Source organism: Homo sapiens, chromosome X, assembly GCF_000001405.40.
Source record: "Homo sapiens chromosome X, GRCh38.p14 Primary Assembly".
NCBI classification, from domain to species: Eukaryota; Metazoa; Chordata; class Mammalia; order Primates; family Hominidae; genus Homo; species Homo sapiens.
This window is the reverse complement of record NC_000023.11, coordinates 56,825,614-56,850,659: the sequence shown is the minus strand read 5'-3', so window position 1 is coordinate 56,850,659 and position 25,046 is coordinate 56,825,614.

Here is a 25,046-nt window from a genome sequence, read left to right as displayed (position 1 = left end):
TGCATCCCAGGGATAAAGCCAACTTGATAATGGTGGATAAACTTTTTGATTGCTGCTGTATTTAGTTTGCCAGTATTTTATTGAGGATTTTCACATCGATGTTCATCAGGGATATTGACTTGAAATTTTCTTTTTGTTTGTGTGTATCTGCCAGGTTTTGGTATCAGGATGATGCTGGCCTCATAAAATGAGTTAGGGAGGAGTCCCTCTTTTTCTATTGTTTGGAACAGTTTCAGAAGAAATGGTACCAGCTCTTTGTTGTACCTCTGATAGAATTTGGCTGTGAATCCATCTGTTTCTGGGATTTTTTTGGTTGGTAGGCTGTGAATTACTGCCTCAATTTCAAAACTTCTTATTGGTCTATTAGGGGATTTGACTTCTTTCTGGTTTAGTCTTGGGAGGGTGTATTTGTTCAAGAATTTATCCATTTCTTCTAGATTTTCTAGTTTATTTGCATAGAGGTGTTTACAGTATTATCTGATGGTTGTTTGTATCTGTGGGATCAGTATTTGGATTCCCTTTATCATTTATATTGTGTCTATTTGATTCTTCTCTCTTTTCTCCTTTATTAGTCTAGCTAGTGGTCCGTCTATTTTGTTAATCTCTTCAAGATGACGAGTTAGTGGGTGCAGCGCACCAGCATGGCACGTGTATACATATGTAACTAACTTGCACGTTGTGCACATGTACCCTAAAACTTAAAGTATAATAAAATTTATTGAAGTGTTTTTCATGTCTCTGTCTCCTTCATTTCTGCTCTGATCTTAGTTATTTCCTGTCTTCTGCTAGCTTTTGAATTTGTTTGCTCTTGCTTTTCTAGTTCTTTTAATTGTGATGTTAGGGTGTCAGTTTTAGATCTTTTCCACTTTCTGATGTTGGCATTTAGTGCCCTAAATTTCCCTCTTCACACTGCTCTAGCTCTGCCCAGAGATTCTGGTACCTTGTCTCTTTGTTCTCATTGGTTTCAAAGAACATCTTTATTTCTGCCTTAATTTCGCTATTCACCCAGTAGTCATTCAGAAGCAGGTTGTTCAGTTTCCATGTAGTTGTGCAGTTCTGAGTGACTGTCTTAATCCTAGGTTCTAATTTGATTGCACTGTGGTCTGAGAGACTGTTTGTTATGATTTTTATTCTTCTGCATTTGCTGAGGAGTGTTCTTTTAATTATGTGGTTGATATTAGTATAAGTGCTATGTGGTGCTGAGAAGAATGTATATTCTTTTGATTTGGGGTGGAGAGTTCTGTAGATGTCTATTGGGCCCACTAGGTCCAGAGTTCAGTTCAAGTCCTGAATATCCTTGTTAATATTCTCTCTCGTTGATCTGTCTTATATTCACGATGGGGCGTTAAAGTCTCCCACTATTATTGTGTGGGAATCTAAGTCTTTTTGTAGGTCTCTAAGAACTTGCTTTATGAATCTGGGTGCTCCTGTACTGGGTGCACATATATTTAGGATAGTTAGCTCTTCCTGTTGCATTGATCCCTTTATCATTATGTAATGCCCTTTTTTGCCTTTTTTGATCTTTGCTGGTTTAAAGTCTGTTTTATCAGAGACTAAGATTTGAACCTCTGCTTTTTCTACTTTCCATTTGCTTTGTACATATTCCTCCATTTCTTTATTTTTAGCCTGTGTGTGTATTTGCATGTGAGATGGGTCTCCTGAATGTACCACATCAATGGGTCTTGAATGTTTGTCCAATTTGCCAGCCTGTGTCTTTCAATTGGGGCGTTTAGCCCATTTACCTTTAAGGTTAATATTGTTATGTGTAAATTTGGTCCTTTCATCATGATACTAGCTTGTTATTTTTCACATTAGTTGATGCAGTTTCTTCATAGTGTCTTGGGTCTTTATATTTTGGTGTGTTTTTGCAGTGGCTGGTACCGGTTTTTCATTTTCATATTCATTACTTCCTTCAGGAGCTCTTGTAAGACAGGTCTGGTGGTGACAATATCTCTCAGCATTTGCTAGTCTGGTAAGTATTTTATTTGTCCTTTGCTTATGAAGCTTAGTTTGGCTGGATATGCAATTCTGGGTTGAAAATTTTTTCTTTAAGAATGTTGAATATTGGCCCCAAGTCTCTTCCGGCTTGTAGGGTTTCTGCAGAGAGATCTGCTGTTAGTCTGATGGGCTTCCCTTTGTGGGTAACCTGACTTTCTCTCTGGCTGCCCTTAACATTTTTTCCTTCTTTTCAACCTTGGAGAATCTAACAATTATGTGTCTTGGGGTTGCTTTTACCGAGGAATATTTTAGTGGACTTCTCTGTGTTTCCTGAATTTAAATGTTGGCCTGTCTTGCTAGTTTGGGGAAGTTCCTCTGGATGATTTCCTGAAGTGTGTTTTCCAACTTGGTTCCATTCTTCCCATCACTTTCAGGCATACCAATCAAAAGGAGCTTTGGTCTTTTCACATAGTTCCATATTTCTTGGAGGCTTTGTTCATTCCTTTGCATTCTTTTTTCTCTAATCTTGTCTTCATGCCTTATTTCAGTAAGTTAATCTTCAATCTCTGATATCCTTTCTTCTGCTTGATTGATTTGTCTATTGATACTTGTGTATGTTTCACGAAGTTCTCGTGCTGTGTTTTTCTGCTCCATCAGGTCATTTATGTTCTTCTCTAAGGTGGTTATACTAGTTAGAAATTCCTGTAACCTTTTATCAAGGTTCTTAGCTTCCTTGCATTGGGTTAGAACATGCTCCTTTAGCTCGGAAGAATTTGTTATTACCCACCTTCTGAAGCTTACTTCTGTCAATTCATCAAACTCATTCTCTGTCCAGTTTTGTGCCCTTGCTGGTGAGGAGTTGCAATTTTTTGGAGGAGAAGAAGCATTCTGGTTTTTTAAATATTCAGAATTTTTGTGCTCTTTTTTTCTCATCTTTGTGGATTCATCTACATTTGATCTTTGAGACTGATGATCTTTGGATGGCGTTTTTGTGTGTGTGGGTGTCCTTTTTGTTTATGATGATGTTATTGCTTTCTGTTTGTTAGTTTTTCTTCTAACAGTCAGGCCCCTGTTCTGCAAGTCTGCTGCAGTTTTCTTGAGGTCCACTCCAGATCCTGTTTGCCTGGGTATCACCAGCAAAGGCTGCAGAACAGCAAAGATTGCTGCCTGCTCCTTCCCCTGGAAGCTTCTTCCCAGAGGGACACTTGCCTGATGCCAGCCAGAGCTCTTCTGTATGAAGCGTCTATTGACCCCTGCTGGGATGTCTCTTAGTCAGGAGGCATGGGAGTCAGGTTCCCACTTAAGGAGATAGTCTGTCCCTTAGGAGAGCTCAAGCTCTGTGTTTGGAGAATCCTCCTTGTTAGGATCTGCTGCTGTCTTCATATCTGGCAGGCAGAAGAGTTTAAGTCCACTGAAGCTGCACCCACAGCCACTCTTTCCTCCAGTTGCTCTGTCCCAGAGAGTTGGAAGTTTTATCTATAAGCCCCTGACTGGGGCTGCTCCCTTTCTTTCAGAGATGGCCTGCCCAGTGAGGAAGAATCTAGAGAGGCAGTCTGGCCACAACCTCCTTGCTGTGCTATGGCGAGTTCCACCCAGTCCTAACTTCCCAGCCCCCTTAGCACTGTCAGGGGAAAATCGCCTACCCAAGCCTCAGTAATGGTGGACACCCCTCCCCCTACTAAGCTTGATCATCCCAGGTCGACTTCAGACTACTGTGCTTGCAGCGAGAATTTCAAATCAGTGGTTCTCAGCTTGCTGAGCTCTGTGAGAGTGGGACCTGCTGAGCAAGATCACTTGGCTCCCTAGTTTCAACCCTCATTCCAGGGAAGTGAGCCGTTCTGTCTCACTGGGGTTCCAGGCACTGCTGGGGTATGAAAACAACAACAACAACAAACTCCTGCAGCTAGCTCAGTGTCTGCCCAAACAGCTGCCAAATTTTGTGCTTGAAACCCAGGGTTCTGGTTGTGTAGGCACATTAGGGAATATCCTGGTCTGCATATTGCAAAAACAGTGGGAAAATTGTAGTATCTGGGCCAGATAGCACAGTTCCTTATGGCTTTCCTTGGCTGGGGGAGGGAGCACCCTGGCTTCTTGCACTTCTTGGGTGAGGCGATGCCCCACCCTGTTTCTGCTTGCCCTCCATGGGCTGCATCCACTTCCTAACCAGTCCCACTGAGATGAACTGGGTACCTTAGTTGGAAATGCAGAAATCACCCACCTTCTGTGTTGGTCTTGTTAGCTGCAGACTGGAGCAGTTCCTATTCAGCCGTCTTGCCAGATCTCCCACACTTTTTTTTGTAAGGTGCTGTTAACTATATGGTTATTGGCTAGAAATCCTGAGTTATCAACTGTATATATCTATGGTTTGTAAAAAGAACAAAAGAACCAAGACAAACTCTTGATGCTCCTTGCTTGTTTGGCATTGAGGTTGTGGAGAAGATGCTTTTTGGAGGTGCTGTAGCTCAGGGTATCCACAAGGAGGCTGGACCTGTTGACTCTGCAGTGGGCATCCCTTTAGTCTCAGGTTGTCTTATTTCTGTATATAGTGATATAGCATTTTGCTGCCATCTTATCTGTGGACAGAGAGGGTGTCAACTTGCATGAGAAGTTTTATTTTGGTTTATTTATTTATTTAATTTTAATTAAGTGTGGTAGTTTTTAAACAAACTGTAGAACTCTTCATTGTCAGCAAAGTGAAGAGCCACATAATCAATGAAAGTTCAAAAGCCTTCTGTACTTAAACATGATTTGCAACGTTCCATTTTTTGTATGTTTAGAATGCTGAAATGTTTTTGAAGTTAAATAAACAGTATTACATTAAAAAGTAAAGGAGGGAGGGATATAAAACTACATATTGAGTACAAAGTACACTACTCGGGTGATAAGTGCACTAAAATCTCAGACTTCACCACTATGTGATTCATCCATGTAATCCAAAATCTCTTGTACCTTTAAATGACCTTTGAGTTCATTGATTTTTTATTATGCACAATTGACTCTGCCATTGAATCTCTCTTATTGTATTTTTAGTTCTGTTATTGTATTCTTCAGCTCCAGGATTTCTTCTTGTGGTTTGTAAAATGGTATATATTCAGTAAACTCATTTTTTTCATGCATTGTTTTCCTGATTTTGTTTAGTTGCCTATCTGTGTCTTCTTGCATCTCAGTGAGCTTCTTTAAGATTATTGTTTTGAATTTTTGACAGGCAATTCATAGATCTCAATTTTTTTGGGTCAATTACTGGAGGTTTATTGGTTTTATTGTTTTATTTTGTTTCAAGTGTGTCATGTTTGTCTGATTCTTCTTTGTGTAGCCTTGCATTGGTGCCTGTTCATTTGAAGGAGAAAACTCCTATTCCAGTCATTACTGACTGATTTTACCAGGTAAAGACCTTAGGTCCCTTTATGATGGATTTTCCTCTGAGACTGAAATTAAGTGGAGTTAGAGCTGTGTCATGCAGCTGCTGTTGGGTTCACAGTAGGCCTGTTATCAGTTGTGTAGATAGATATGACTCCCTCTGGGCCCCCAGGAGGCATATTTCTGGGACACTGGGTGGGTCACTGAATAGACAGAACTGGTCCCAGACCATGGTTTAGCAGAGCTGAAGCCATGACACAAGGCTGTTTCATAATCTGTAGTTGGATTGAGGTCACTGGGTCTGTCTCCAAAAAAACTAAAAAGTACATCTCTGGTGGGTCCTTGAGTCAACAGGATTACTTATTCTCTGTGGCTGGAGAGAATGGAGCTGGATTACAGAACTGCTTTGTACTGCACAAGGGCATTGAGGTCATTGGGCCTGGCTTTGAGCAGTGGTGTCTTCTGGAAGGTCCCTGGTCAGGCAACACTGCTCTTAAACAGCAGAAGAAAGAATCTGAAGCCAAGTAACATATTCGTTTGGGGATCTGCTGTAGGACTGAAATCTACAAGACTGCTTCTGGGGACATGGACAGGCATGACACCCTGCACATCCCTGAGCAAGAAAGACTACTTGTAGATGATGGCCAAGAGGAGATGGAGCTGGGTTACAGAGCCATTTTAGAGTTCACAGCTGGGACAAGATTTGGCAGGCCTGTCATCCAAGGCATAGTGAGTGTGACTCTTCCCAGGTCTCTTAGCAGGTGGTTCTGGTGGCAGCAACAGACCCAAATCATGTTATAATCAAGTCCACTTGAGGAAAATGTCATTTCTGGGTCGGTAGGTGAGACCATGGTTGGTGAGCCTACCACCTGGGTGCAAGCCTGTTCTCTCAAACAGCCCTCCTCAGTCTTGGGATCCACTGGGGTTTTGCAACATTCTAACTGGGACTCAAGGCTACAAAAAGGGCACTTCTCTTTGTGAATGGTTGCCAAATTTTTATTACTGTGGGAGGATGCTAGTGTTAAACATGCTACTGTGCTATCCTGCTAAAATTACTTCTCCATTTGTTACTTCTTAAGCTGCATTGTGTATTTTCCTTTTAGAAATCATTCTTTACAGAGAATGATGGCTTCCAGTCGGGAAGTGGGGGCCAGAGGAGAAAGAGCATTAGGACAAATACCTAATGCAGGTGGGGCTTAAAACCTAGATGATGGGTTGAGAGGTGCAGCAAACAACCATGGCACATGTATACCTATGTAATAAACTTGCACTTTCTGCACATGTATTTCAGAACTTAAAGTAAAATTTTAAAAAAAGAAATCCTTCTTTACCCATTTACCAATGACTTGGTGAAGTCGTCAATCAAGATACTGAAACTGAACTCTTCTTTCCATAATGGTAATTTCATAGCCTTAGGCTGACCAATCAGATCACCCACTCTGGTGGATTCATGAATTCATGAATGGTATGCAATCCAAGCAGGATCAACAACAGTATTATTTAAACAATTAATATGGAATATTGGGAAAGAGATTGCTTCTTCTCCTTAGTGTGTGAGCTTAATGTGATATAATCCTGAAGGTGCTGCAGGTGTCCTCTTTCTCACTACAAAGAGACAGCCTGGCAGAAAGTGAACAGTGAAAAAGTGAACTAAAAGATGTGAGATCTCTGAGTGTATAATTTTAGCACCTGAATTCAGCCATGTTTTATATCTTGTTTAATTATCTTCCCTCCATGTTATACTATAAGCTACATTGACTGTTATTTTACTCATCATTATACTCCCAGTACTTGATACAGCAATTGTGACATAGTAGGCTTTAAACTAATACATTTTGACAGAGTAAATTATTATTATCTCAGGGATTATACCTATCCTACAATAATATATTGACAAATATTATCTTTGTATATTTTTACAATTTGAGGCTGGGCATGGTGGCTCATGCCTGTCATCCCAGCAATTTGGGAGGCTGAGGCGGGTGGATCACCTGAGGTCAGAAGCTCAAGGTCAGCTTGGCTAACATGGTGAAACAGCATCTCTACAGGTGGTGGGCACCTGTAGTCCCAGCTACTTGGGAGGCTGAGGCAGGAGAGTCGCTTGAACCTGGGAGCCAAGATCGCACCACTGCACTCCAGCCTGGGTGACAGAGTGAGACCCCATCTCAAAAAAAAAAAATACAATTTGATGTTTTGCATTTATGCTTATGGTATGAGAAAAAAAACTAATTTGAGTTTTTCCCTATATGATTAGCCAAATGTTCTTAACACAATTTAATGAACGAAACAGTTTTCTCAATGAATTTGAAATCTCACCTCCATATCCTTATATAAGCTGATGTCCATTTCTGGGTTTTAGATCCTGTTGAACTGACTCATGTGCACATTTCTATGTCATTAATCCATTACTTAAATTATTGTGTCTTTCTTATATTTTAATGTACATAAAGATTTTTCTAAAATTAATTTTTTTGACAAAGGGTCTTGCTCTATCACCCAAGCTGCAATGCAGTGGCAAAATCTCGGCTCACTGCAACCTCCAGCTCCTGGGTTCAAAAGATTTTTGTGCTTCAACCTCCCAAGTAGCTGTGATTACAGGCGTGCACCACACCAGGCTAATTTTTGTATTTTTAGTAGAGACAGGGTTTTGTCATGTTGGCCAGACTGGCTTCGAACTTCTGGCTTCAAGTGATCTGCCTGCCTCAGCTTCACAAAGTGCTGAGATTACAAGTGTGAGACACCATGCCCGGCCTCCTAAAATTAGTTATAATTGTTTTTCCTTGACTATTTTACCACACTAATATTTGTAGTTAAAATTTATGGTCACATTGTTAAATTCCAAAACAAATCCTTTAGGCATGTTGATTAATATTTTAATTTGTATGATAGATTTTGAGAGAACATGGCTACAATATTATTTCTTTAAATTCAGAAACTTTAAAAATCTCTTCATGTAGCCTTGTTTTATGTATATTCATAATTTTTAATATTTTTGTTCCATATTTCTATAGTCTTGCATTTTATAAACTATATTAAATAATCAGGGGTGGAGCCAAGATGGCCACATAGGAACAGCACCAGTCTACAGCTTCCAGCATGAGGGAGGTAGAAGACGGGTGATTTCTGCATTTCCAACTGAGGTACCAGGTTCATCTCACTGGGGAGTGCCAGACAGTGGGTGCAGGACACTGGGTGCAGCACACTGTGCATGAGCCAATGCAGGGCAAGGCATCACCTCATCCGGGAAGTGCAAGGGGTCAGGGAATTCCCTTTCCTAGTCAAAGAAAAGGGTGACAGATGGCACCTGGAAAATCGGGTCACTCCCACCATAATACTGCACTTTTCCAATGGGCTAAACAAACGGCACACCAGGAGATTATATCCCGCACCTGGCTCAGAGGGTCCTATGCCCACAGAGCCTCACTCATTGCTGGCACAGCAGTCTGAGATCAAACTTTAAGGTGGCAGCGAGGCTGGGGGAGGGGTGCCTGCAATTGCCGAGGCTTGAGTAGGTAAACAAAGCAGCCAGAAGCTCGAACTGGGTGGAGCCCACCACAGCTCAGGGAGGCCTGCCTGCCTCTGTAGGCTCCACCTCTGGGGGCATGGCACAGACAAAAAAAGGCAGCAGTAAACCCTGCAGACTTAAATGTCCCTGTCTGACAGCTTTGAAGAGAGTAGTGGTTCTCCCAGCACACAGCTTGAGATCTGAGAAAAGGCAGACTGCCTCTTCAAGTGGGTCCCTGACCCCGAGTAGCCAAACTGGGAGGCACCCCCCAGTAGGGGTGGACTGACACCTCACACGACCAGGTACTCCTCGGAGACAAAACTTTCAGAGGAAAGATTTGCAGTTCACCAATATCCACTGTTCTGCAGCCACCACTGCTGATACCCAGGCAAACAGGGTCTGGGTTGGACCTCCAGCAAAATTCAAAAGACTTGCAGCTAAGGGTCCTGACTGTTAGAAGGAAAACTAACAAACAGAAAGGACTTCCACAACAAAAACCCATCTGTACGTCACCATCATCAAACACCAAAGGGAGATAAAACCACAAAGATGAGGAAAATCAGAGCAAAAAAACTGGAAACTCTAAAAATCAGAGTGCCTCTGCTCCTCCAAAGGAATGCAGCTCCTCACCAGCAACGGAACAAGGCTGGATGGTGAATGACTTTGACGAGTTGAGAGAAGAAGGCTTCAGAAGATCAAACTGCTCCGAGCTAAAGGAGGAAGTTTGAACCAATGGCAAAGAAGTTAAAAACCTTGAAAAAAATTAGACGAATGGCTAACTAAAATAACCAATGCAGAGAAGCCCTTAAAGGACCTGATGGAGCTGAAAACCATGGCACAAGAGCTATGTGACGAATGCACAAACCTCAGTAGCCGATGCGATCAACTGGAAGAAAAGGTATCAGTGATGGAAGATGAAATGAATGAAATGAAGCAAGAAGAGAAGTTTAGAGAAAAAAGAATAAACAGAAATGTACAAAGCCTCCAAGAAATATGGGACTATGTGAAAAGACCAAATCTATGTCTGATTGGTGTACCTGAAAGTGACAGGGAGAATGGAACCGAATTGGAAAAGTCTCAGCAGGATGTTATCCAGGAGAACTTCCAAAATCTAGCAAGGCAGGCCAACATTTAAATTCAGGAATACAGAGAACACCACAAAGATACTCCTCGAGAAGAGCAACTCCAAGACACATAATTGTCAGATTCACCAAAGTTGAAATGAAGGAAAAAATGTTAAGGGCAGCCAGAGAGAAAGGTCAGGTTACCAACAAAGGGAAGCCCATCAGACTAACAGCTGATCTCTTGGCAGAAACTCTACAAGCCAGAAGAGAGTTGGGGACAATATTGAACCTTCTTAAAGAAAACAATTTTCAACCCAGAATTTCATATCCAGCCAAACTAAGCTTCATAAGTGAAGGAGAAACAAAATATTTTACTGACAAGCAAATGCTGAGAGATTTTGTCATGACCAGGACTGCCCTAAAAGAGATCCTGAAGGAAGCACTAAACATGGAAAGGAACAACCAGTGCCAGCCACTACAAAAACATGACAAATTGTAAAGACCATCAAGGCTAGAAAGAAACTGCATCAACTAACGAGCTAAATAACCAGCAAATATCATAATGACAGGATCAAAATCACACATAAGAATATTAACCTTAAATGTAAATGGGCTAAATGCTCCAATTAAAAGACACAGACTGGCAAATTGGATAAAGAGTCAAGACCCATCAGTGTGCTGTATTCAGGAAACCCATCTCACTTGCAGAGACACACATAGGCTCAAAATAAAGGGATGGAGGAAGATCTAACAAGCAAATGGAAAACTAAAAAAGGCAGGAGTTTCAATCCTAGTCTCAGATAAAACAGACTTTAAACCAACAAAGATCAAAAGAGACAAAGAAGGCCATTACATAATGGTAAAAGGATCAATTCAACAAGAATAGCTAAGTATCTTAAATATATATGCACCCAATACAGGAGCACCCAGAATCATAAAGCAAGCCCTTAGTAACCTACAGAGACTTACCATTTGACCCAGCCATCCCATTACTGGGTATATACCCAAAGGATTATAAATCATGTTGCTATGAAGACACATGCACACATATGTTTATTGTGGCACTACTCACAATAGCAAAGACTTGGAACCAACCCAAATGTCCAACAACGATAGACTGGATTAAAAAAAATGTGACACATATACACCATGGAATACTATGCAGCCATAAAAAAATGAGGAGTTCATGTCCTTTGTAGGGACATGGATGAAACTGGAAACCATCATTCTCAGCAAACTATCCCAAGGACATAAAACCAAATATTGCATGTTCTCACTCAAAGGTGGGAATTGAACAATGAGAACACATGGACACAGGAAGGGAAGCATCACACGCTGGGGTCTGTTGTGAGGTAGGGGGAGGGAGGAGAGATAGCATTAGGAGATACACCTAATGCTAAATGGCGAGTTAATGGGTGCAGCACACCAACATGACACATGTATACATATGTAACAAACCTGCACATTTTGCACATGTACCCTAAAACCTAAAGTAAAATAAATTTAAAAAAAACAAAAATAATGGGAGACTTTAACACCCCACTGTCAACATTAGACAGATCAACGAGACAGAAAGTTAACAAGGATATCTAGGAATTGAACTCAGCACTGCACCAAGTGGACCTAATAGACATCTACAGAACTCCCACCCGAAATCAACAGAATATACATTCTTTTCAGCACCACACCACACCTATTCCAAAATTGACCATATAGTTGGAAGTAAAGCACTCCTCAGCAAGTGTAAAAGAACAGAAATTATAACAAACGGTCTCCCAGAACACAGTGCAATCAAACTAGAACTCAGAATTAAGAAACTCACTCAAATCCACACAACTACATGGAAACTGAACAATCTGCTCCTGAATGACTACTGGGTACATAACGAAATGAAGGCAGAAATAAAGCTGTTCTTTGAAACCAATGAGAACAAAGACACAACATACCAGAATCTCTGGGACACATTGAAAGCAGTGTGTAGAGGGAAATTTTAGCACTAAATGCCCACAAGAGAAAGCAGGAAAGATCTAAAATTAACACCCTAACATCACAATTAAAAGAACCGGAGAACCAAGAACAAAACACATTCAAAAGCTAGCAGAAGGCAAGAAATAACTAAGATCAGAGCAGAACTGAAGGAAATAGAGACACAAAAAACCCTTCAAAAAATCAATGAATACAGGAGCTGGTTTTATGAAAAGACCAACAAAATTGATAGACTACTAGCAAGACTAACAAAGAAGAAAAGAGAAGAATCAAATAGACGCAATTAAAAATGACAAAGGGGATATCACCACCAATCCCACAGAAACACAAACTACCATCAGAGAATACTATAAACACCTCTACGCAAATAAACTAGAAAATCTAGAAGAAATGGATAAATTCCTCGACACATATAACCTCCCAAGACTAAACCAGGAAGAAGTTGAATCTCTGAATAGACCAATAACAGGCTCTGAAATTGAGGCAATAATTAATAGCTTACCAACCAAAAAAAGTCCAGGACCAGATGGATTCACAGCCGAATTCTACCAGAGGTACAAGGAGGAACTGGTACCATTCCTTCTGAAACTATTCCAATCAATAGAAAAAGAGGGAATCCTCCCTAACTCATTTTATGAGGCCAGCATCATCCTGATACCAAAGCCTGACAGAGACACAACAAAAAAAGAGAATTTGAGACCAATATCCTTGATGAACATTGATGCAAAAATACTCAATAAAATACTTCAAACCGAATCTAGCAGCACATCAAAAAGCTTATCCACCATGATCAACTGAGCTTCATCCCTGTGATGCAAGGCTGGTTCAACATACGAAAATCAGTAAACGTAAACCAGCATATAAACAGAACCAAAGACAAAAACCACATGATTATCTCAATAGATGCAGAAAAGGTCTTTGACAATATTCAAAAACCCTTCATGCTAAAAACTCTCAATAAATTAGGTATTGATGGGACATATCTCAAAATAATAAGAGCTATCTATGACAAAATGACAGCCAATATCATACTGAATGGACAAAAACTGGAAGCATTCCCTTTGAAAACTGGCACAAGACAGGGATGCCCTCTCTCACCACTCCTATTCAACATAATGTTGGAAGTTCTGGCCAGGGCAATCAGGCAGGAGAAGGAAATAAATGGCAATCAATTAGGAAAAGAGGAAGTCAACTTGTTCCTGTTTGCAGATGACATGATTGTACACCTAGAAAAGCCCATCATCTCAGCCCAAAATCTCCTTAAGCTGATAAGCAACTTCAGCAAAGTCTCAGGATACAAAATCAATGTGCAAAAATCACAAGCATTCTTATATACCAATAACAGACAAACAGAGAGCCAAATCATGAGTGAACTCCCATTCACAATTGCTTCAAAGAGAATAAAACACCTAGGAATCCAACTTACAAGGGATGTGAAGGATCTCTTCAAGGAGAACTCCAAACCACATTTCAACGAAATAAAAGAGGATACAAACAAATGGAAGAACATTCCATGCTCATGGGTAGGAAGAATCAAATCGTGAAAATGGCCATACTGCCCAAGGTAATTTATAGATTCAATGCCATCCCCATCAAGCTACCAATGACTTTCTTCACAGAATTGGAAAAAACTACTTTGAAGTTCATATGGAGCCAAAAAAGAGCCTGCATTGCCAATTAAATCCTAAGCCAAAAGAACAAAGCCGGAGACATCACACTACCTGACTTCAAACTATACTACAAGTCTACAGTAATCAAAACAGCATGGTACTGGTATGAAAACAGAGATATAGACCAATGGAACAGAACAGAGCCCTCAGAAATAATGCTGCATATCTACAACTATCTGATCTTTGACAAACCTGACAAAAACAAGAAATGGGGAAAGGATTCCCTATTTAATAAATGGTGCTGGGAAAACTGGCTAGCCATATGTAGAAAGCTGAAACTGGATCCCTTCCTTACACCTTATACAAAAATTAATTCAAGATGGATTAAAGACTTATATGTTAGACCTAAAACCATAAAAACCCTAGAAGAAAAACTAGGCAATATCGTTCAAGACATAGGCATGAGCAAGGACTTCATATCTAAAACACCAAAAGCAATGGCAACAAAAGCCAAAATTGACAAATGGGATCTAATTCAACTAAAGAGCTTCTGCACAGCAAAAGAAACCACCATCAGAGTGAACAGGCAACCTACAAAATGGGAGAAAATTTTTGCAACCTACTCATCTGACAAAGGGCTAATAACCAGAATCTACAATGAACTCAAACAAATTTACAAGAAAAAAGCAACCCCATCAAAAAGTGGGCAAAGGATATGAACAGACACTTCTCAAAAGAAGACATTTATGCAGCCAAAAGACACATGAAAAAATGCTCATCATCACTGGCCATCAGAGAAATGCAAATCAAAACCACAATGAGATACCATCTCACACCAGTTAGAATGGCGATCATTAAAAAGTCAGGAAACAACAGGTGCTGGAGAGGATGTGGAGAAATAGGAACACTTTTACACTGTTGGTGGGAATGTAAACTAGTTCAGCCATTGTGGAAGTCAGTGTGGCGATTCCTCAGGGATCTAGAATTAGAAATATCATTTGACCCACCCATCCCATTACTGGGTATATACCCAAAGGATTATAAATCATGCTGCTATAAAGACACATGCACATGTATGTTTATTGTGTCACTATTCACAATAGCAAAGATTTGAAACCAACCCAAATGTCCAACAATGATAAACTGGATTAACAACATGTGGCACATATACACCATGGAATACTATGCAGCCATAAAAAATGATGAGTTCATGTCCTTTGTAGGGACATGGATGAAACCGGAAACCATCATTCTCAGCATATTATCGCAAGGACAAAAATCCAAGCACCGCATGTTCTCACTCATTGGTGGGAATTGAACAATGAGAACACATGGACACAGGAAGGGGAACATCACACTCCAGGTTCTATAGTGGGGTGGAGGGAGGGGGGAGGGATAGCATTAGGAGATATACCTAATGCTAAATAACAAGTTAATGGGTGCAGCACACCAACATGGCACATGTATACCTATGTAACAAACCTGCATGTTGTGCAAACGTACCCTAAAACTTAAAGTATAATAATAATAAAATAAAAATAAACTATATTCAGTCGTTTACATTAGCATGTTTAATATTCATTCCATATCCACAAAGGATTACAAAATGTTTCTGAGTGGAATTTTTTTTTGATTTAGAAAAATAATTTAATGCTGGTTGTGGTGGCTCACACCTGTAATCCCAACCCTTTGGGAGGCTGAGGCAGACAGATCACTTGAGCCCAGGAGTTCAAGACCCACCTGAGCAACAAGCAAAACCCCATCTTTACTAAAAACAAAAAAATTCACTGGGTGTGGGCCTGTAGTCCCAGCTTCTCAGGAAGCTGAGGTTGGAGGATCACCTGAGCCCAGGAAATGGAGGTTGCACTGAGCTAAGATTGCACCACTGGACTCCAGCCTGGGCCACAGAGCAAGATCTTGTCTAAGATATATATATATATATATACACACACATATACACATACATATATACATATATACATACATATATATATATATGATAATTTAATTCTACAAGAACAAGTTTCCAAGCTCAGTCTTGAATGGGAAGATTGCAATAAAGAAGACAAACCATTCCACAAATTACTGGTTTGGTGCAAATGTAATTTGCAGTTATTGTCATCTAAAGTAGTGTCAAAATCGCAATTACTTTTGCACTGACCTAATAAAAAGATTACTTCTCTGAGATGTAAATATTGCTGTCATATTTACTGATTTTTTTTTTTTTGCTTCCTTCTAGGTATCTTATAGTGAGTAGGGGCTTGAACTCTAAATAAGAATATGAGAAAAGTTTATATGAAGAGAGTGGTTTCAGGCACATGGCAACTCACTGAGTGCTAAAGATAGTCATGGCCAGTGGTCAGAGATGATCACTGTACTGGTTAGTTGTAAGCATCAACTTAACTAAGTTAAGAGATACCAACGTAGTGGGTAAAGCATTATTCCTTTTTATGTCTGTGAGTGTGTTTCCAGAAGAGATTGGAAGTTAAATAAATGGACTAAGGAAAATCTATCCTCACCAAATGTGGGTGGGCATCATCTTATTGGTTGGCGGCCCAAATATAGCAAAAAGGCAGATGAAAGGCAAACTTATCTCTCTTTTTTGAGCAGGGAAACCCAACTTCTTGTATGCTTGGAGGTCAGAACTCTACATTTTTCAGCCTTCAGACTCTGGTACTTGAAACTGTGTCCCCCCAGTGTCTCAGGCTTTCAGAATTGGACTGAGCTATAGCATAAACTTCCCTGGTTGTCCAACTTGCAAATGATATTTTGTGGGACTTCTCCATGTCCATAATCACATGACCCAATTCCCATAATAACTTCTTTCTTATATATATCTACTTTTCATTCTGTTTCTCTGAAGAACCATGAATAATACAGATTTTGGTACCAGAAGTGGTTCTAGAGCAACAAAATTTTAAGGATAAGTTTCCTGAATTGGCTTTAGAGTTTCTGGAATTTACTAATTTGGTTAGATTTTAAAATGCTAAGGACTCCCTATTCAAGATCATATAGAGAGCAGTAATAATCCATGGTGTGATCCGTCAATAGACATATGCAAAATATTACTATTTTATAGTTCTAATCAACCACATATAAGAGTCAAGGAATTTAGTGACTCTGTATATAATACTTTTGAACATTTGTGGAAAACTAAGAAATATAATGACATTGGTTGGTTTCTCCTAATGTCAATGGACAAAGTGATTAAAAAATTAAAGGATGAGCTCAGGGATTTGAATTCCTACCTTAGGAACTGCACAAATGACCTAAGAGCTTTAAGCTATGCTCTGAGAGAGAAGCTTATCTCCTGTAGCCACAGGACTGAACATAATGAAAATCAAACACATGTTCTTATCATGGAATTTCCTGAATTACAAAGAGAGTTTAAATGCCAGCCTCTCAGGGTATCTAATGTGAAAGTGAGTCACAGACTGGGAAAAAATGGGATCATGTAAATTGAGATGGTGATGCATAGAAAAACTCAATGACGCAAGAGACATTGAGCTTTTAAATTTTAATGAAGTGTTTTTTTGTTGTTGTTTTGTTTTGTTTTGTTGTTTTGCCGGTGGAAGTAGCCTTTCAATCTCCCAGTAGTAGCACTGTCCCCACTCATAGTGGTATTGGCCTTTCCACTTCTGTCTAATGGAATGATAATAGTCTCCATAGAGGCAGTTTCCAAGCATGACAATGCTGATTCTCCTTGGGACCAACCGTCACCACCCAACTTTGCTTCTAGATCCATAAATAGAATCAAGTTCCAGCAGATCCTTAAATGTATGGAATAAAGTGTGACCCATGAAGGAGTACTTCACACTTCAAAAATAAACCTAAGTTTTCTAATTGATACAAGTAGATATTCAGGGCACTTTTCTGGGAATGCATATTAAGGTATGAAATGGAGGTGGAAGAAATATAAAGTTGCATCAGGCTGAATTTGTTCATTTGTGACCACCAAGTAGAAATTCTGTATTGAATGTTGCAGCTTGGGGAGTTAGAAAGGGCTCTAACAGTTGGTGTAGTTTCCTGGCTGAAAAGTGGATCAAAAAGATAGACAATTGCTGGCTGGCAAGATGGCCAAATAGAAAAATCTCTGGTCTGCAGCTCCCAGTGAGATCAACACAGAAGTCAGGTGATTTCTACATTTCCGACTGAAATACCTGATTCATTTCATTGGGACTGGTTAGACAGTGGGTGCAGCCCATGGAGGGTGAGCCAAAGTAGGGTGGGGCATCACCTCACCTGGGAAGTGCAAGGGGTTGGGGAATTCTCTCCTCTACCCAAGGGAAGCTGTGAAAGACTGTGCCTGAGGAATGGTGCACTCCAGCCCAGATACTGGGCTTTTCCCACAGTCTTTACAACTCGCAGACCAGGAGATTCACTACAGTGCCCATGCCACCAGGGCCCTGGGTTTCAAGCACAAAACTGGGATGCCATTTGGGCAGAGACTGAGCTAGCAGCAGGAGTTTTTTGTTGTTGTTGTTGTTTTTTGTTTTTTGTTTTTTTTCCCCCCATACCCCAGTGGTGCCTGGAACTCCAGTGAGACAGAACTATTCACTCCCCTGGAAAGGGGGCTGAAGCCAGGTAACCAAGTGGTCTGGCTTGGCAGGTCCCACCTGCCAAGCAGTAAATACCCACAAGCAAAAGCAGGAAAGATCTAAAAGATCCCACCTCCACGGAGCCCAGCAACTAAGATCCAATGGCTTGAAATTATCGCTGCCAGCACAGCAGTCTAATGTCAACCTGGGACACTCGAGCTTGGTGGGGGGAGGGGCATCCACCATGGCTGAGGCTTGGGTAGGCAGTTTTACCCTCACAGTGTAAACAAAGCTGCCAGGAAGTTTGAACAGTGTGGAGCCCACCACAGCTCAGCAAGGCCACTGTGGCCAGACTGTCTCTCTAGATTCCTACTCTCTGGGCAGGACATCTCTGAAAAAAAAGGCAGCAGCCCTAGTCAGAAGCTTACAGATAAAACCCCCATCTCCCTGGGACAGAGCACCAGAGGGCAGGGGTGGCTGTGGGCACAGCTTCAGCAGACTAAAACATCCCTTCCTGATGGCTCTCGAGAGAGCAGCAGATCTCCAAGCACAGCATTTGAACTCTGATAAGGGTCAGACTGTCTCCCCAAGTGGGTCCCTGACCTCTGTGTATTCTGACTAAGAGACACCTCCCAGTAGGAACTGACAGACACCTCATACAGGAGAGCTCTGGCTGGCATCTGGCAGGTACCCCTCTAGGACGAAGCTTCCAGAGGAAATAACAGGAAACAATCATTTCTGTTCTGCAGCTTCCGCTGGTGATACCCAGGCAAACAGGGTCTGGAGTGGACCTCCAGCAAACTCCAGCAGACCTGCAGCAGAGGGGCCTGACTGTTAGAAATACAACTAACCAACAGAAAGGAATAGCACATCCACACAGAGTCCCCATCTGAAGGTCACCAACATCAAAGACCAAAGGTAGATAAATACAAGAAGATGGGGAGAAACCACTGCAAAAAGGCTGAAAATTTCAAAAACAAGAATGCCTCTTCTCCTCCAAAGGATCACAACTTTTCACCAGCAAGAGAACAAAACTGGACGGAGAATGAGTTTGACGAATTGACAGAAGTAGGCTCCAGAAGGTGGGTAATAAAAAACTCCTCCAGGCTAAAGGAGCATGTTCTAACCCAATGCAAGGAAGCTAAGAAACTTGATAAAAGGTTACAGGAACTACTAACTAGATTAACCAGTTTAGAGAAGAATATAAATGACCTGATGAAGCTGAAAAAACAGGACAGGAACTTCATGAAGCATATAAAAGTGCCAATAGCCAAATAGATAAAGCAGAAGAAAAGATATCGGAGATTGAAGATCAGCTCAATGAAATAAAGCAAGAAGACAAGATTAGAGAAAAAAGAATAACAAGAAGTGAACAAAGCCTCCAAGAAATATGAGGCTATGTGAAAAGACCAAATCTACATTGGATTGGTGTACCTGAAAGTGATGGGGAGAATGGAACCAAGTTTGAATACACTCTTCAGGATATCATCCAAGAGAACTTCCTCAACCTAGCAAGGCGGGCCCACATTCATCCCTTTACCACAATGGTAAAGGGATCAATGCAACAAGAAGGGCTAATTATCCTAAACATATATGCAGAAATACAGAAGCACTCAGATTCATAAAGCAAGTTCTTACCGACTTACAAAGAGACAGCCTTCCACACAATAATAGTGGGAGACTTTTACACCCCACTGTCAATATTAGACAGATAAATGAGACAGAACATTAACAAGGATATTCAAAACTTGAACTCAGCTCTGGACCAAGTGGACCTAATAGACATCTACAGAACTATCCACCCCAAATCAACAGAATATACATTCTTCTAAGCACCACATCGCACTTATTCTAAAATTGACCACATAATTGGAAGTAAAACACTCCTCAGCAAATGCGAAAGAATGAAAATCATAACAGTCTTTCAGACCACAGTGCAATCAAATTACAACTAATTACAACTCAGGATTAAGAAACTCACTCAAAACTGGACAGCAACATGGAAACTGAAAAACCGGATCCTGCATGACTACTGGGTAAATAACAAAATTAATGCAGAAATAAAAATGTTCTTAAACCAGTGAGAACAAAGAGACAAGGTACTAAAATCTCTGGGACATATTTAAAGTAGTGTAAAGAGGGGAATTGATAGCACTAAATGCCCACAAGCAAAAGCAGGAAAGATCTAAAATCGACACCCTAACATCAAAATTAAAAGAACTACTGAAGCCAGAGTAAACAAATTCAAAAGCCAGTAGAAGATAAGAAAAAACTAAGATCAGAGCAGAACTGAGGGAGATGGACACATGAAAAACCATTCAATAAATCAATGAATCCAGGATCTGGTTTTCTGAAAAGGTGAAAAACCATTCAATAAATCAATGAATCCAGGACCTGGTTTTCTGAAAAGGTAGAGAAGAATCAAAAAGATGCAATAAAATTGATGGAAGGGATATCACCAGTGATCTCACAGAAATACTAACTACCATCAGAGAATACTGTAAACCTCCTACACAAATAAACTAGAAAATCTAGAAGAAATTGATAAATTCCCAGAAATACACATCCTCCCAAGTCTAAACCAGCAAGACATCAAATCACTGAATAGACCAATAAGAAGTTCTGAAATTGAGGAAGTAATTAATAGCCTAGCAACCAAAAAAAGTCCAAGAACAGACAGATTCACAGCAGAATTCTAGATGAGGTATAAAGAGGAGCTGGTACCATTTCTTCTAAAACCATTCCAAACAATAGAAAAAGAAGGAATCCTCCCTAACTCATTTTATAAGGCCAGCAACATACTGATATCAAAACCTGGAAGAGATACAACAAAAAAAGAAAATTTCAGGCTAATATCCCTGATGAACATCAATGTGAAAATCCACAGTGAAATACTGACAAACCAAATCCAGCAGCACATCAAAAATCTTATCCACCAGTATCAAGTTGGCTTCATCCCTGGGATGCAAAGCTGGTTCAACATATGCAAATTGATAAATGTAATCCATCACATAAACAGAACCAATGAAAAAAACCACTTGATTATCTTAATAGATGCAGAAAAGGTCTTCAACAAAATTCAACAGCCTTCATGCTAAAAATTCTCAATAAACTAGGTATTGATGGAACGTCCCTCAAAATAGTAAGAGTTATTTATGACAAACTCACAGCCAATATCATACTGAATGGGAAAAAACTGGAAGCATTTCCTTTAAAAACTGGCACAAGACAAGAATGCCCTGTCTCACCACTCCTATTCAACATAGTATTGGAAGTTCTGGCCAGGGCAATCAGGCAAAAGAAAGAAATAAGACGTTTTCAAATAGGAAGAGAGGAAGTCAAATTGTCTCTGTTGCAGATGACATGATTGTACATTTAGAAAACCCCATCGTCTCAGCCCAAAATCTCCTTAAGCTGATAAGCAACTTCAGCAAAGTCTCAGGATCCAATCAATGTGCAAAAATCACAAGCATTCCTATACACCAATAATAGATAAACAGAGAGCTAAACCATGAGTGAACTCCCATTCACAATTGCTACTAAGAGAATAAAATACCTAGAAATCCAACTTACAAGGAATGTGATGGACCTCTTCAAGGAGAACTACAAACCACTTCTCAAGGAAATAAAAGGGGACACAACCAAATGAAAGAACATTCCATGCTCATGGATAGAAAGAATCAACATAGTAAAAATGGCCTTACTGCCCAAAGTAATTTATAGATTCAATGCTATCCCCATTGAGCTACCACTGACTTTCTTCACAGATTTGGAAAAAATACACTAAACTTCATATGGAATGAAAAAACAGCTCCCATAGCCAAGACAATTCTAAGCAAAAAGAACAAAGCTGGAGGCATCACACTACCTGACTTCACACTGCACTACAAGGCTACAATAACCAAAACAGCATGGTACTGGTACCAAAACAGATATATAGACCAAGGGAACAGAAGAGAGGGCTCAGAAATACCACCATACATCTACAACCATCTGATCTTTGACAAACCTGAGAAAAACAAGCAATGGGGAAAGAATTTCTTATTTAATAAACAGTGTTGGGAAAACCGGCTAGCCATATGCAGAAAACTGAAACTGGACCCCTTCCTTACACTTTATACAAAAATTAACTCAAGATGGATTAAAGACTTAAATGTAAGACCTAAAACCATAAAAATCCTAGAAGAAAACCTAGGCAATACCTTCAGGACATAAGCATGGGCAAAGACTTATGTCTAAAACACCAAAAGGTATGGCAACAAAAGCCAAAATTGACAAATGGGATCTAATTAAATGAAAAAGCTTCTACACAGCAAAAGAAACTATCATCAGAGTGAACAGGCAACCTATAGAATGGGAGAACGTTTTTGCAATCCATCCATCTGACAAAAGGGCTAATATCCAGAATATACAAAGAACTTAAACAAATTTACAAGAAAAATCAAACTACTCCATCAAATAGTGGGCGAAGGATATGAACAGACACTTCTCAAAAGAAGACATTATGCAACAAACAAACATATGAAAAAAGCTCATCATCACTGGTCATTAGAGAAATGCAAATGAAAACCACAACGAGATACCATCTTACACCAGTTGGAATGGTGATCATTAAAAGGTCAGAAAATAACAGATGCTGGAGAAGATGTGGAGAAATAGGAATGCTTTTACACTGTTGGTGGGAGCGTCAATTAGTTCAGCCATTGTGGAAGACAGTGTGGCAATTCCTGAAGGATCTAGATCCAGAAATACATTTGACCCAGAAATCTAAATACTGGGTATATTCCCAAAGGATTATAAATCATTCTACTATAAAGACACATGCACACGTATGCTGATTGTGGCACTATTCACAATAGCAAAGACTTGGAACCAACCCAAATGCCCATCAATGATAGACTGGATAAAGAAAATGTGTCACATATGCACCATGGAATACTATGCAGCCATAAAAATGGATGAGTTCATGTCCTTTACAGGGTCATGGATGAAACTGGAAACCATAATTCTCAGCAAACTAAAACAAGAGCAGAAAACCAAACACCACACTTTCTCACTTATAAATGGGAGTTGAACAATGAAAACACATGGACACAGGGAGGGGAACATCACACACGGGCCTGTCAGGGTGTGGGGGGCTAGGGGAGGGATAGAATTAGGAGAAATACCTAATGTAGGTGATGGGTTGATGGGTGCAGCAAACCACCATGGCATGTGTATACCTGTTCATGTGAAACTGCACATTCTGCACATGTACCCCAGAACTTAAAGTATAATTTTAAAAAATAATTATTTAATAATTACTTAATTGATCACTTAATTTAATCCTTATTAACAGTCTGTTACCACTATTCTTTCATTTTACTGCATAATCACCTTTTTGGTCACTTAGTTTAATCTTTATTAAGTCTGTGACCACTATTGTCCCATTTTACTGCATAACAGTCTACTAAAAGTAATATTTTTAAAAATTAATCATCAGATAACTATTTCCTGATTGTATTGCATTATCTATATTAAAGTCTTTCTCTGGGAATTTCCTCAAGTATGATCTTCATACCTTTGATACCTTTTCTCCTTTAATAACACTCATCTAAATTTTAGACTCACATATCTAATAAAACAGCTCATAGTTTTTCCTTCCCTACATTGCTCGCTCCTATTTCTTGAGCTGTCATTGCTCTTAAAGCCTATACCACACAGATACAGTCTCTGCTGTTTTTTAACTCTTTCATTTATGCAACTTCTGGAATTATGGGCTGAATAAATTCATGTTTTAAAAAAAAAGACAGCCAATTATGAGTGACTTGGAAATACCCAAACACCCTTGGTTTAATGGAGAAGAAGAAATTCACAGGATTAGGGAGATTAAAATACTAGAGTAGATTTGTCTTTTAAGGCTTAGTCATCAACACTGGAAGAGTCTAGAAAGTGTAACTTTCACCAGTGCTTTGGGAAATAGATTTGTGAGGGGATCCCCAGCATCCTTGAAGAGCTCCATGATTGCTTTTCTCTGTAGGACAGATCTTACGGTGAAACCTGCAATCACTCAATTGGAAAACTTAAATGCAATAGGTATAATTGGATCTTGAGATAGCAGGGGTGAAGTTGCGGCACACAATCATTAAAAGAAAGGTGAGTATAATTACTGTAATGGACAGCAGTGTAAAAGCCCCAATCAGAATAATCTGACTCACACAGAACTATGGTGTTGGCTAGTTTCCATAAGTGAAATAGATGAGAAAGCTACTAAGTCTTTACTTGATCTGTATAAGCAGAAAATGTCCAGGTCAAATAAACGAAAGTCTAATTTGAATCATAAAAGCAAAAAAAAAAAAAAAAAAAACACCACAACACTCAATTAATTTTCAGGCTTCATCCAGTTTACAAACACAGAAACCCTTGAATGAAGGGGAGGCTCTCTAGTCAGAGTAAGGGCTATGGGGGTCAGGTGATCAATGAAGTATTTGCTGAGGTCTATCTTGCGGTGAGTCCAGTAGGTCACTGATCCCATTCTGTGGTTATTTCTCTAGTTCCAGAATGCATCATTAGAATAGAAATAATTAGCAGCTGGAAGAATCTCAACACTGGTTTTCTAACCAGAAAAGTGAAAGCTATTATAGTGAGAAAGGCCAAATAGAAGCAATTAGAGTTGTGTATACCAAGGAAAATAGTAAATCAAAAGCAATACTGCATCTCTGGAAGGATTGTAGACATTAATGCCACCATCAAATACTTGAAAGATTCAAAGATGTTGATTCCTACCACATTCCCCATTCGACTCTTCTATTTTACCGTGCAGAAGAGAGATGGGTCTTGGAAAATTACAGTGGAATATCATAAAATTAAACAAGTGGTGATTCCAATGGAAACTCCTCCACTAGATGTGGATTCACTGCTTGAGCAAATTAACACATCTCCTGGTACCTGCTAGGCAGTTAATAATCTGGCAAACACCTTTTCTCCAAATTTGTCCATAATGTCCACCAGAACCAGTTTTCTGTCAGCTGCAAAGACCAGTAATAATCTTTATTGTACTATTTCAAGA